The sequence below is a fragment of the Homo sapiens genome, chromosome 9 (genome assembly GCF_000001405.40).
Source record: "Homo sapiens chromosome 9, GRCh38.p14 Primary Assembly".
NCBI lineage: Eukaryota > Metazoa > Chordata > Mammalia > Primates > Hominidae > Homo > Homo sapiens.
Genome location: NC_000009.12, coordinates 83,884,066 through 83,899,232, shown reverse-complemented (window position 1 = coordinate 83,899,232; position 15,167 = coordinate 83,884,066). Strand labels below are relative to the sequence as shown.

Sequence of the window (15,167 nt, the reverse complement as noted above, 5' to 3'; positions counted from 1 at the left end):
CTTAGCTTTCCTATTATATTAACATGGATATGTCTACAGTATAACATAGTATGCCTCTACATATTAAACTCCCTGGCTGTGGCTTCTCCCATCACCCCAAATAGTTAATATCATTTAAAGCCTTTAGCTTCCTATCAGGGAATAACTAATGCCCCGAGAAATAATCTGATCCAGCACACATCAGATTTTGATTTTTACGTTGTTTGATTTTTGTTTTCTTTTTTAACCCTTCTAATTGTATTTTGTTGTTGTTTGTTGTTGTTGTTTTGTTTGTTTTGAGACAGGATCTCATTCTGTTGCTCAGGCTGGTGTGCACTGGCACAATCACAGCTCACTGCAGCCTCGACCTCCCAGGCTCAAGTGATCCTCCCGCCTCAGCCTCATGAGTAGCTGTGACCACAGGTGCATGCCACCGTGCCCGGCTAATTTTCTGATTTTTTTGTGGAGACAGGGTCTCACTGTGTTGCTCAAGCTGGTCTCGAACTCCTGGGCTCAGTGATCCTACCACCTCAGCTTCCCAAAGTGCTGAGATTGATTACAGGTATGAGCCACCATGCCTGGCCCTAATTGTATAATAATTTAAAAACATAAAACTAAAGTATATACAAAACAATGCATATTAATCAGTGATTTATCACAGAGAGAACAGCTGGGTAACCACCACCAGGTCAAGAAATTGCTAACTGCCAGCGCCTCAAAATTTTTAGTGCCTCCTTACAATTATTATTCCTCCCTCTTCCTCAGAGAGCCACTCTCTTGACTTACATGGTAATCATTTCTTTGCTTTTCTTATGGTTTTACTATCTAAATATGTATCCTTCAACACTACAGTTTAGTTTTTGGAATTTTTATTAATTTATTCAGTATAGCTTATTCAGTATCTGGCTGCTTTTGTTGAACATTGTTATGATTCATCCACTTTTTAATCATAATATTTTTTCTGTAAATTCTAATATTTTATCTGTAATGTGTGACTGTGGTTTGTTTAGTTTTATAGCTACATAGGATTTTATTGTATGACTATACCACAATTTATTTTCTGTTCTACTGTTTGATGGACATTTGTGGCTTTCTGTGAAATTTTCTCGTGAATTTTCAGTGTCTCTCGGTGCACATGCACATATATTTCTTTCAGATTTGTGCCTAAGAGTTGAATTGCTAGGCCATAGGGTAGATATATCTTTAACTTTTGTAGGTGATACCAGATTGTTTTCCACTTTATACTCCCACCCAGCATTCTCACTATTCCATGTGAGCATTCTCACTGTTCCATGTGCTTCTCAACATTTGTTATTAATTTTTAAATCTTAGCCAATCTGGTAGGCATGTAGTATTTTATTGTGGCTTTAGTTTGCATTTCCCTGATGACTAGTGAGGTTGAGCATTTTTTTCATATGTTTTTGGCTATTTGGATATCCTCCTTTGTGAAGTACTCATTCAAGTCTCTTGTTTGTTTTTCTATTGAGTTACCTGTCTTCTAGATTAATTTGTAGAAGTTTGTTGTATATTCTGGGTGTGAGCGCTTTGTCACTTACATGATTGCAAATAATTTTTCTGTGGCTTGCTTTTTACTCTCAGTGGTATCTTTGATGAAGAGTTCTTATTGTAATCAAATTCATCAATCTTTTCCTTTATGGTTAATGGTATTTGTTCTCTATTTAATAAGTTTTTCCTTTCCCCAGTTGTTTCCTCTGAGGATACTTTCTATATTATCTTCCAGAAGCTTTATTGTTTTGCCTTCCACATTTAGCTGTATAGTCCTCCAGGAATTGATTTCTGTGTATGGAGTAAAGTAAAGATCAAATTTCATTTTTTAAACATATAGATATTCATTTGTTCTAGCATCATTTATTGGAAACCATCTTCTCACAACTGTTTTGAGTGCTATCTTTATCATAAATCAAGGTCCATTTGTGCATGAATCTCTTGTCTATTTCTTGGCCTTCTATTCTGTTGGTTGATTTGTATCTCCTTGAGCCAAGATCACATTTCTTATTTATTGTAGGTTTATAATAAGTCTAGATATTTTGTAGAGCAAGGCCTTCTGCTTTTCTTCTTCCCTCCCCACTCCCCAGATGTCTTGGTTGTTCCATATAAATTTTATTTTAATTTTTAAATTTTTAAAATAATTACTTTATTGAGATATAATTCACATACTATAGAATGCAGCCCTTCAAATATACAATTCAATGATTTTTTTATGTATTTACAGAATTGTTTAACCATCACACCATCTAATTTTAGAATATTTTTATCAACCCAAAATGAAAATGAAAATATTGTATCCACTAGCAGTCACTCCTCATTTTCCTCCTTTCCTCAGCCCCTGGCAAAAACCACTTTACTTTCTACTTCTATGGATTTGCCTATTCTAAACATTTCATACAACTGGAATCATACAGTAAGTGGCCTTTGTGTGTGACTTCTTTCACTTAGTATGCTATTTTCATTTATTTATTTTTCGTGATCAAATAATTTTGTATGTTTCTGGGATACAGTGTAATGTTTTGATGTATGTATACATTATAGAAAGATTCAATCAAGTTGGTTAACATTAATTAACATTAAATTACATTTATATATGTTTAGAATTAATGAACATATTTTGATTGAGTCTCCTAATCCATAAGCATGGTATTGTTCTCCATTTACTTAGATTTCCTTTATTTTTTCTCAGTAATGGCCTACATTTTTTTGTGCAGAAATATTGCAAATAATTTATAGATTTCTTTTTAGGTACTTGATTTTTTTTCTGTCACTATAAATGGAATCTTTAAAAAATTTTATTTTTCAAATTCCCTAATTGTTGGTATGTGGAACTGTACTAATTTTTAGATATTAATACATTATATATCCAGCAACCTGACTAAACTCAGTTTTTGATAAGGAGTGTCTACAGTTACCATCAAGTGGGGAGCCTTCAAAATTCCCAAGATAAATGGAAAAGATCCAAACTTTTTGGAAGTAATTTCTTTTTTTTGTTGTTTTTGAGACGGAGTCTCACTGTGTCACCCAAGATAAGAGCGCAGTGGCACAATCTCCGCTCACTGCAACCTCTGCCTCCCGGGCTCAAGCGATTCTCCTGCCTCAGTCTCCTGTATAGCTGGGATTACAGGCACCCGCTGCCATGCCTGGCTATAAACTTGTGTGTGTTTTGTTTTTTTTTTTTTTTTTTTTTTTTGAGACAGAGTCTCACTCTGTCATCCAGGCTGGAGTGCAATGGCATGATCTCGGCTCACTGTAACCTCTGCCTCCTAGGTTCAAGTGCTTCTCCTGCCTCCACCTCCCTAGTAGCTGGGACTACAGGCATGCACAACCATGCCTGGCTAATTTTTTTTGTATTTTTAGTAGAGACAGGGTTTCAACATGTCAGTCAATCACTCCTGACCTCAAATGATCTACCTGCCTTGGCCTCCCAAAGTACTGGGATTACAGGCGTTAGCCACCGTGCCCGGTCTATACTTGCTTTTTAATTCTAATATTTTATCTGTAAATTCTTTTGGATTTTCATTTATAATTATGTCATCTGCAAATAGTAACAGTTTCATTTCTTCCTTTATAATCCTTTCACCTTCTGTATCTTTTTCTTCTATATCTTCTATATTGTATACTTTAAATAGTTGGATTCTATAGTATGTGAATTTTGTCTCAATAAAGTTATTATAAAAATACCTTCTTGTATTTGCTGGGATCTCCAATGCAGTGTTGAATACAAGTGGTGATAGAAAGCATCCTTGTCTTGTTTCCAATCATAGAGGAAAAGCTTTCAAAATTTCACTCTGAAGTTATTATATTTTCTATAGGTATTTTTAATTTACCCTTTCCCAAACTAAGGAAATAACTGAGAATTTTTATTATGAATGGATATTGATTTTTATCAAATGATTTTTCTTTATCATATGATTTTTCTTCCTTATTCTGCTAATATGGTGAGTTACACTGATTGACCTGATTTTTTTTTTTTTTTTTTCGAGGCAGAGTCTCACTGTGTCACCCAGGCTGGAGTGCAGTGGTGTGATCTCGGCTCACTGCAAGCTCTGCCTCCTGGGTTCATGCCATTCTCCTGCCTCAGCCTCCCAAGTAGCTGGGACTACAGGCGCCCGCCGCCATGCCTGGCTAATTTTTTTTTTTTTTTTTGCATTTTTAGTGGAGACGGGGTTTCACTGTGTTAGCCAGGATGGTCTTGGTCTCGATCTCCTGACCTTATGATCTGCCCACCTCAGCCTCCCAAAGTGCTGGGATTACAGGTGTGAGCCACAGTGCCCGGCCGATTGATCTGATTTTTAACCAATCTTTTATTCCTGGAATAAACCCTTTTTGTTGTTGATGTTGTGATGTACTGTTGTATTGGGGGTTCCCCAAAACCACCCTCAGATTGGATGATGTACTATGAGAACTCAATATATATTCATTCTCCTGGCTAGGATTTATTACAGTGAAAGGATGCAGAGCAAGATCAGCAAAGGAAAAAGACACATGGAACAAAGTCTGGAGGAAACCAGGCACAAGCTTCCAAGACTTGTCTCTCAGCAGAGTCACAGAGGATGTGCTTAATCCCCCAGCAATGAGTTGTGACAACACCTATAAAATGTTATCTGGCGGGGAAACTAAGTAGACTCAGTGCCTATGGGTTATATTGAGGATGCGTGGGTCATGAAGGCACCCTTTGCCTAGCATGAACCAAAGTCCCAGACTACAAGGAAAGCAGGTGTACAGCATAAACCACATTGATAGTGCAAACAGTTGAGCACAGTGAGTCAGTATAATCAGAGTGTTTAAGAAACACTCCCAAAATCCAAGTTCTCAGACATCTGACAACCTCATAGCAGGTCTTCTAAAAGATAGCAGTCAGGTCTGCTATGTTAACTCTTCTGCACAATTGACCTAGATTTGGTTTGCTAGTGTGATGTTTATATTTGTCAGTAAGTTTGTCCTATATTTTTCTTTCTCATAGTATTCTTGTCAGATATTGTAACAAGTTATGCTGGCCTCATAATATAGATTATTTAATTCCCCCTATACCTGGAAAGGTGTGTGAAAATTGGTATTATTTCTTTCTTAAATGTTTGGTTGAATTAGCCTGTTAAGCATTTGGGACTGGAAATTTTCTTTGGGGGTATGTTTTATGAATTAAATCATATTAGTATTTTCTTTTCCTCCAGTTTTGATAAGGTTTATTTTTCTAGGAATTTGACCATTGTATATAATTTTCAAATGTATTGGCATAAGTTTGTTTATGATAGTCTTTTATTCATTAATATCTTTATTAATGAATAAAGGGGACTGTGTAGTCACATGTCCCCTTTTTCATTCCTGATTATTTGTGCCTTCTCTCACTTTTTTTTCTTGCAGTTTCACTAGCTAGTAAAATTACCAATTCATTAGTCTCTTCAAAGAGACAATTTTTGACTTTGTTAATCCTCACTAGTGTATGTTTGTTCATTATTTCATTAGTTTGTTCACTATTTCACTAATTTCTGCCCTTTATTATTTAATTCCTTCTACTTTTGGGGTAACCTCCTGCTATCTTTTTAACATCTTTAGATGAATATTTAGTATATTGATTTTTAGCTTCTCTTCTTTGTGAGTGCAAGTCAAGATAAGCTTACATATTTCTAAGCTTATCTTGACTTGCACTCCACATTGAGCTCAAAATGTTTCCTAATTTTCATTGTGACTTTTTTTTTGACTTGTGAATAACATAGTTATTTTATTTACAGGACATGGGGGATTTATTTTTCTTTAATCAATTTTTATTGCATTGTGATCAGATAACATACTATCTCTGATTTCAGTCCTTTGAATGTATTGAAACTTGCTTTTTGGCTCAGAATAAGGCAAATGTTTGTAAATGTTACAGAGGTACTTGAGAAGAATATGCATTCTGCAGTCATTGGGCACTGTTAATCCTATTATTCAAATCTACATTTTTTACTCACCTTTGAAGTCTTTTTGTTATATCAGTAATTTATAAAGTGATGTTAAAATCTCCCACTATGACAGACCTCAACTCTGTCACCCAGGCTGGGGCACAGTGGCACGATCATGAGTCACTGTAGCCTCGACCTCCTGGGCTCAAGCAGTCCTCCCACTTCAGCCTCCTGAGTAGCTGGGACCACAGGTGCACACCACAATGCCCTGCTAATTCTTGTATTTTTTGTAGAGAAGGGGTTCTTCACCATGTTGTCCAGGCTGCTCTCAAACTCTTGGGCTCAAGTGATCTACTGGCCTTGGCTTCCCAGCGTGCTGGGATTACAGGTGTGAGCCACTGTGCCCAGCCCTACTATAATTTTGGATTTGTCTTATTTCTCCCTGAAGTGCTGATAGTTTTTGCACTACAAATATTGAAGCTGTGTTATTAAGTGGACACAAATGTAGAATTGTTATACCATCCTGGTGAATTGCTCTTTTAATCATTTTTACCTCTTCTTATCTAATGAGTTTTGCCTTAAAGCTTACCTTGACATTACTATAGCTACACCAGCTTTCTTTTGATTAATATTTACATGGTATCTCTTTTTCTATCTTATTTTTAATCTTTCTGTGTCTATTTTAGATATGTTTCTTGTAAGCAGCATATGGTTAGATAATCTTAAAATCCTTTCTGATAGTCTTTATCTTTTAATTTCATTATTCATTCATTAATTTAACATAATTACTGTTTTGGTAAAAATCCACCATTGTGCCTTTTATTTATCCTTCCTCCTCTGTGTTCCTTTTTCCCTCTTTTGGATCATTGGTTATTTTTTCTTTTTCTGTTGTTTTCTCCACTAACTTAGAAGTTATAGTTTTACTCTTTTTTTAGTGGTTATCCTAGAGAGTATACCATGCACCCTAATATTAATTGGTACTTTTATCCTTTTCCCAGGCAATGTAAGAACTCCATTGAATCCTTTGATGTTGTATATTTTAATTATCTGAATACGTGATTTTTAAGTAAGGTTGCATTTTTATTGCTCAGCATTTATACAATGAAAATGTAAGGTTTTTTTTCCTATTTCAACATTGTAGTACATGTGAAGTATTAAGATGAATGACTGTTTCTTATTTACATAAATTTGTGCTTGTAAAACAAAGATTGACATTAGAGCTTTCTAGATTTGATACACTTCAAAAATTTTCTTTAGAGGATACACAAAAAATACTAAACCACATATACACAAACACACACACACATTCCTGATACACAATTTGTTCTGCCTTTGATTTCCAAGTTCTCCTTCCTCTCAGGACTATCAGTTGGCTATCTTCTATCTGTCTGCTTTTGGCTTCCTTTTTCACTAAGGCTTTCACTTCCCTGCACTTGTTACCTCCTTCTGCCTCCTTTGCTGCAAACTCTGCTGCCTACAATTCTTTCTCCACTTTTTGAACTTTCTTGTTTCTTTTTACTTCTTGGATTTCACTCAGAAAGTCCATACTTTAATAAAGATAGCTAATCAAAGTGCTTCAGGTTGGCAAAGCATCCAGTCACAGTGGATGGCGTGTTATCTTTGAGTATTTGACTTTTGACTTTTTTGGCTGTGTTTGTTGCTCCTTACTATTAAAAAGGTTTTACCACTCAGAACAATGTTAGTTACTTGTGAACACCAGAGAGCTAGTCTCTGGATAAATGAGAATTGACTGTATTATTAAAGTAGTTATGATTTTGGTCAATGTAAAATTCATTTTTAATCATAATCTAAATGTACTGAAGTGCTCTATATTAAAAATTTTCATCTCTCTTCTACAAAGAATGAAAAAATAATAGAACAACAACTTCTTGTGGATCAACTGAGTGAAGAACTAACAAAACTTAACCTGTCAGTGACTTCTTCAGCTAAAGAAAATTGTGGAGATGGGCCAGATGCCAGGATCCCTGAAAGGAGACCATATACTGTACCATTTGATACTCATTTGGGGCATTATATTTATATCCCATCAAGACAAGATTCCAGGAAGGTAAAGTCCAAACAATCTTTTCCTTATTTGGAGATTAAAAAAATTTTAGCCATGTGTAATATCACAGTGTATTTATACAGTCTCAGCAGATTTTTTTTGTTTGATTTTATGGAATTTTGTGTATACCTTTTCTTTTAAGCATACTTCTTTCTAATAAAAAAACTAATAAACAAGAGAATACACAGTTACATTTGGAGGGAATAGTTGGATGGAGATAATGTCCATACTTCTTCAATGTGAAAAAGGTATCCTTTGCCATATTTTCAGACATGACCAAGTTTAATATCTACATGAATTTATTTCTTCCTTTAACCACACAAAGTTGAGATGTTAGAGGATATTTATTTCAACTTGTTTGGTCTGTCATTTTTGAAATAATATTTATATGCTGTTCAGTCTTACCAAGTAGACATAATCAAGACAATATAAATATCAATATAAATTTTAGTTTGTGTGTGGTTGGTAAATATATACACACACAGTTTTAAGAATTATCAAAGAATCTCTATTATGGAAAAGACGTAATTAGCAGATTCATGAGTTTTGGTTTAGCAGGTTCATGAATTCTGGTTTCTGTTTCCTCATTTTATGAAGGGAAATGATTTGTTCACGTGAGATCCATCTGGTTGTTACAGTCAGAGGGATAAGAAATGAAAGGCAAGTGATACATGAGCAGTGTCATGGACTTTGCATCAGGCAGCCTTGGGTGGTATGAATACTATAATAGCTCTGGACATTTGGTTTTCTTTGTAAAAAGAAATTTTAAAAGGAAATTACAATCCCAGAGAATGAAGTTGGACTCTGAACAAAGATTTTATTATTTGCTCCTTAAATAATTCCCAAACTCTCACAAAAGAAAACTAGATGCCTGCCAGTTATGGGATAAAATAGCCATGTCTAGTACGTTGTATTTGTTAGATCAGTACTTCTTGAGTTGGTTCTTCTTAAAGAATTCCCCTCCCTCATACCCCATTGGGAGGCCACCTAAAAAACTTTACGCCCATCTATCATGATGCTGATGTGACAGATGATCTAATTAGGTGACTGACAGCAGAAGCACAAAAATCAGATATAAGATGATTTTCAGAATCAGGTAGGATTTTTTAGGAGAGAATACATGACGGGGGCCTATTGTCAAGTGATTAAATCCTAAACACTGTGTGATACTCATATTCCACTATATGTTATAATTTTAACAGCTTATAATAATTTATATTGATAAATGGACTGTCTCCTCTAAGATTTTATTGCCTTTTGAGAGAAGTCATCTTGAGATTTGGTTACAGAGATGGTGCAGAGGAAATATTTTGTAATAGAAACCAGAACAAAGGTATAAAGGCAATTTCTAATTTATTGTTGTTGTTTTCCAAGGTCATTTTTTTTTGAGAATTTAAAGTGCATTTCCAATAGAAGAATGTTGTACTATAGAAAACTCCCAGGCTAGCCATACGATTTTATTTGTCCTATGACATATATTAAATATTTTTCCTAGAGCCTTAATTCAGCTATACCTAACTACCATGTATAAAGAATAAGTATATACATTGTGGTATTCAGATTAGGAATATTGCCCTGGCAGAGGGAGTGGAGACGGCTCTGGGTTTCTTCCTGTGGTAGGATTTGGATTGGAGGGGATGCAGACCTTTGGCGGCAGCACCACAGTTCTCCAGGTGTTCTGAACTGGGAAGATGGGGAAGAGGGTACATTTGTTGGGGTGTGTCTGTGTTGTGTTTAAGAGCTAGGATGTTTTCCATGCGTTCTTTTGGTTTCATTTTTGAATACTGTTTTCTGTAAGTGAAGATAGAAGAGTTGTCCAGAAGAGAAGGAGCTGTGTGGATTCTGAAAGAAGTATTTGTCTGTGAGGCACAACAGTATTGTTAAATTAATTTTGACCTTTGTTTGAGGGGAGCATTTTCCAGTGATTGGCTATTTTAAGAGTGCCAATCTAATAACCCCTTTAAAAGCACTTAGAGTAATAGGATAAAATTAGACTTTTAAAATATCACTTTTTTTGTTGTTGGGTGGGGGAATCACTTGCAAGGTCCACACAAGTCCGCCTATGTACTCTCTGGATCGAATATTTGCTGGATTTCGAACACGAAGTCAGATGCTGTTGGGTCACATAGAAGAACAAGATAAGGTCCTCCACTGCCAATTTTCTGATAACAGTGATGATGAAGAATCAGAAGGCCAAGAGAAATCTGGAACTAGGTATGTTAAATATACACTGATTTAATAAATATTTAGAATTATATGCTGCAATAAATATAGAAGTGTAGGTTTTTTCCATTGGAGTATATCTTTTATGTTTAATAGAAGAGTAGGTAACTTTTGCTAAAAGTACTATCATCTAATGTGTTATGAAAATAGTATTTGAACACAAGTCATCAGTCTTATAACTGAAAAATAATTTTGCTTTTAGAGCTTTTATAGTAATGAGATTCTAATTTTCAGAGGTTTTTTTTTTTTTTTTTTTTTGGATTTCCTTATTCTGCTGCCACGTTGGCAACAAACATGACTTTTCTACTGGATTCAACATGGATGGGGGGGGCATCCTTTTATTTTGAGCAATATTAGTAACATTCTGTTTTTATATGTAACTAATAATTTTTTTAACATTACTTTCACTTTTCGGGGAAACTAATTTGAGGGCAGATTAGAAAACACGAACAAATAAGTTAACTTTCTGATTTTTTTTTAAGATGTAGAAGTCGTTCATGGATTCAGAAGCCAGACTCTGTTTGTTCCCTTGTTGAATTGAGTGATACTCAGGATGAAACACAAAAGTCAGATTTGGAGAATGAAGGTACATAGATCTTCTTAAATAATGTAGACCTAATGGTTATAGGACACTTATCTTTTTCCTCAGTTGATAATTTAAGAAACATCCAGGAATTCTCAAAGACCAGAATTTGGTACAAATGCTTTCCTAGTTGGTAGAACTTCTTTTATGTTCTCTGTTTTACCTCTTTTACTCTTTTACTCCTTAATAAAAAAAGATTTTCTATCAATTAATTATAGCGAGAGATATAGGCTAACTCCCTCAGAATAAGGATTTTTATATTCAGACCTGAATTGATATGCTTTGTATTCCTGATGATGTTAAAATACAGTATAAATAATTGTACTAGGTGTCTACTCCTTCACTGGGACTTGTGCCTAACATCAATGATGTATTTGGCATTAGAGCCCAATTAGTGTACTGGGTGTTGGTAATGTTTTAGTACACAACTGCTAAGAATTTTTATGCATCAATAAGTGCTGGGATTACAGGCATGAGCCACTGTGCCCAGCCGGTAGTAGGAGATTTTGTTAACTCATCTCTCTTGGTCAATGCGTGGTTGACCCACAAAAAATAAGGGAATAGGGATAATACAAGTGCTACACTTTGAAAATATAGAGCATCTCTTTAAGAACCTATACGTGGCTTTATGAGCCAAAAATTTAAGTATAACTAAAATAAATTTCAAAATGTGGAAATAATAAAGGTAAATGCTACTCAAGCAGCCATGCTTGAGCTGTTTGTTACTGCTCTGCAACCAGGAAAAAAACTTACGTCGGAATGTAAATGAGCTTACACTAGTTCCTTCCTTGAGAAAGTCTGGCTATGAAAAAAATGTCACCTGAACTAAAGCAGTGTGCTTAGTGACATAGTTGATTTACATTCTGGTGCAGGACAGTAACAAACAGTGCTAGACCACACTCTGAGTAGCCTGGTATAGTCTGCATTCTCCAATTACAGTAAAAGTAGAAGTTGATAGGAAACAAATTCACCCCTCTCTCCATCTGGAAATTTTATACCTATCTCAAATAACTCATGTTAAAGGCAATGAAAAACTGTGTGTCTGAACTTATGGGATATTAAGAAAGAATATATACATACATGTATTAATTTGTAAGAAAATAAAAACTCTTACTGTAAGCTGGAATGCTAGAGTCCCAATTGCTGTGTATTTTTTCCCCTTTTTCCTCCCCTTCCTTTTTGTCTCTTCCACTGCCACCTCTAAATTGCTTTTGAGTCTGCTTTTCTTTTTTTAACTCTACTTCTGTTGAATATTTTACCAGCAGATAGTTTTATTTCTCCATTTTTTTTTAAAGATTTAAAGATTGATTGTCTCCAGGAGAGTCAAGAATTGAATTTGCAAAAATTAAAGAATTCAGAACGCATACTTACTGAAGCTAAACAAAAAATGAGAGAACTTACAATTAACATCAAGATGAAGGAAGATCTGATTAAAGAATTAATAAAAACAGGTAATAGTATCTTGTGAACCAGCTTAAATGAGAAAGAAAACTTCTTAAAATTGCTTCTGATGTGGTAACAGTTACTTTAGTTTTTGAAGCTCAGGTCTATCCACTTAGCTTGGATTGGTGTAACAAGGTGAGTTTTTAGGCCAATATGTGGAGGTTAGTTATCAGAAGAATTTTGTTGTTTTGGGATTTCACCTCTGAATTGTTCTAACTGGTGTGAACTCTGCATTGTGCTGAAATTCTGTGGCACTTAATGTACCAGTTACAACATGTTTATTTTATTTTTTTGAAACAGGGTCTCACTCTGTCACCTAGGCTGGAGTGCAGTGGTGCAGTCATGACTCACTGCAGCCTTGACCTCTGGGGCTCAACCAATCCTCCTACCTCAGCCTCCCAAGTAGCTGGGACTACAGGCGTGTGCCACCATGCCCAGTATGCGTCAGTAGTTTTTATAATTTTTTTTTGACAGTGTATTAGAATTGATAAAATATAGTATAGATATTTTATCTATAAAATAGATAAAATATAGTCCTGTTATTATTAGTTGGCAGAAGCAGCTGCTATTCAAGAGAAGTCTTCAGTGAGAGGGCATTGAAAAGTAAGCACTCACTGACAACTTTTGTTAGTCACCATCTCTGAGGATTTTTAGGAAAGCTCCAAATTGCCCTTGGTTCTAATGAGCAAGAAAAGGGTCTTCTCTGTATAAGCTCTGGTATCCTCTATTTTAAAACAACCACGTTGGGTATACCAGGCTACAAACACATGCTTGTTTAATGAGATCCATAGTAAGATAACCTTTCTGAAAGAAAGTCATTGATTCTATTGGGTAAATATCCTCAACTTCCACAGGCAGTACCCTGAAATCTTGGGAATGGAGAAACCATTCTAGATCAGCTCCTAGATACTCCTAAGAGGGGTCAACTGGTGTTTGATCCTGCCTGTGGGGAAGCAGCATGGCCAAACTCATTTAAACATCTGCATAACTGGAGCTAGGATGATGCATAGCACATATGTCACTAGGAATGAGAAAGGAAAAAGCTTTGGGAAAGTAGCTAAGCAGAGGATGCTTCTTAAAAAATGTCAAAAAAAAAAAACAACACAAAAAACTTAATGCCCTTAATGCTCTCTCACTGAAGACTTTTCTTGAATAGCAGCTACTTCTGCCAACTAATAATAACAGGACATCTATACTATATTTTATCAATTCTAATACACTGCAAAAAAAATTTATAAAAACTACTGATGCGTACTGGGCATGGTGACACACGCCTGTAGTCCCAGCTACTTGGAAGGCTGAGGTAGGAGGACTGATTCAGCCCCAGAGGTCAAGGCTGCAGTGAGTCATGATTGCACCACTGCATTCCAGCCTAGGTGACAGAGCAAGACCGTCTCAAAAAAATAAAATAAACATGTTGTAATTGGCACTGTATATTTTTTTAGTGGTTCATAAAATATTGGTGTGTTGAACAATTAATGAATAGTCCAAAATGATTTGTTAAAATATAGTAGTTGTATGTATTTTAAAGTTAGTCAAGTAATCATAAATTAGAGTCAGAGGACAGTTCACACTGCATTTAGTTAAATAACTTTTATAAAAAAATGATGAGTATTTTTGGATAGCAGTATAACCAGCTATATAAATAGTATAATAGGCTGGGCACGGTGGCTCACGCCTGTAATCCCAGCACTTTGGGAGGCCGAGGTGGGCAGATCATTTGAGGTCAGGAGTTCGAGACCAGCCTGGCCAACATGGTGAAACCCTGTCTCTACTAAAAATACAAAAATTAGCTGGGCATGGTGGCGTGTGCCTGTAATCCCAGCTACTCAGGAGGCTGTGGCAGGAGAATTGCTGGAACCCAGGAGGCGGAGGTGGCAGTGAGCTGACATTGTACCACTGCACTCTAGCCTGGGTGACAGAGCGAGGCTCTGTCTAAATAAATAAATAGTATAATAAACTGTCTCTGGTGATTATTCATCCTCTGAGCTTTAGACTCCTGTTTTCTACTGCCACGAGTTTGCCAGTCTAGTTCAGGGACGGTTGCCTATTCAGAGCAAATCAAAACCAAGCTTTTAGGGTCACTAGCTGGATTTAGAATCAAGAGATATAGAAATATCTTTATTCTATTTTTTCTCTTCTATATATTAATAAGAAAAGAATTTAAAAGGAATTAATCTTGAATAAGTTCGGGTTAGTGAAAAAGGAGAGAGTTAGCTTTGGATGAAAAGATTCTTAAGAGACATAACAAATCAAATGTATTGTGGACCTTGTTTAGATCCTGATTTAAATAAACCAATTGTGAGACACATTTTGAGGCAATTGGGGAAGTCTGAATATGGACTGATTGGTGTTAATATTGTTAGTGTGATAATGACTTTTTGGTTATGTCCATATTTTGTGTGAATGCCGATTGCAGTATGTATAAGTAAAAAGAGGAATTTAACAAAATGAAGTATGTATAGGTGAGATGAATGACATTTGGGATTGCTTTATAATATTTAAGCAAAGTAAAACAATAGGCATATTTGAAGCAGCTGTGACAAAATCTTGATAACTTTTAAATCTGGGTGATGGCGGTTCATTTTATTATTTCTTTTGTTGTATTTTAAAATTTTCATAATAATTTAAAAAAGGAATTCAAGCAGACAGATTATTGGTAGCAGGAGGCTGGAGTATACTAAGCAAGAGGACAAACAGTCACTCCAAATATCCTTCTTAACTGAGTTTGATGCCAGCAAAGCTCAACTACAAATTCAGAGGACCAGAGATGTCACTCTAAAACGCCAAACATTGAACCAGTGAGACTGACTGGCAGCAGATGGGAACAGTCATTAAGGAACTAATTATTAAGAGGCCTGATGGCAAGCTGTGTTTGATGGGGGTGGGTGGGGACAACTGGGTTTTTAATGCTATGCCTTAAATAGTATCACTGCCTGGCTGGATTTTAGAGTAGAGTATTTTTATGTTTTGGATGTTTAAC

At 35.5% G+C, this 15,167-nt stretch overlaps 1 protein-coding gene across 34 annotated transcripts in view; it reads left to right on the top strand.

Moving 5' to 3' along the window:
• The window catches only part of KIF27 (kinesin family member 27), an 87,334-nt gene that overhangs the window by 22,200 nt on the left and 49,967 nt on the right, over positions 1–15,167 (top strand). For 17 of the 34 annotated variants that reach the window (NM_001271927.3, NM_001271928.3, NM_017576.4 and 14 more), the window contains 4 exons: positions 7,732–7,938; positions 9,980–10,149; positions 10,641–10,744; positions 12,037–12,192. In NM_001271927.3, coding sequence (NP_001258856.1) covers positions 7,732–7,938; positions 9,980–10,149; positions 10,641–10,744; positions 12,037–12,192 — 637 coding nt within the window. Of the gene's footprint in view, positions 1–491; positions 542–2,323; positions 2,402–7,731; positions 10,150–10,640; positions 10,745–12,036; positions 12,193–15,167 lie in introns of those variants that run through there. The other 17 variants (XR_007061328.1, XM_011518848.4, XM_011518849.3 and 14 more) reach the window with 2 other exon arrangements.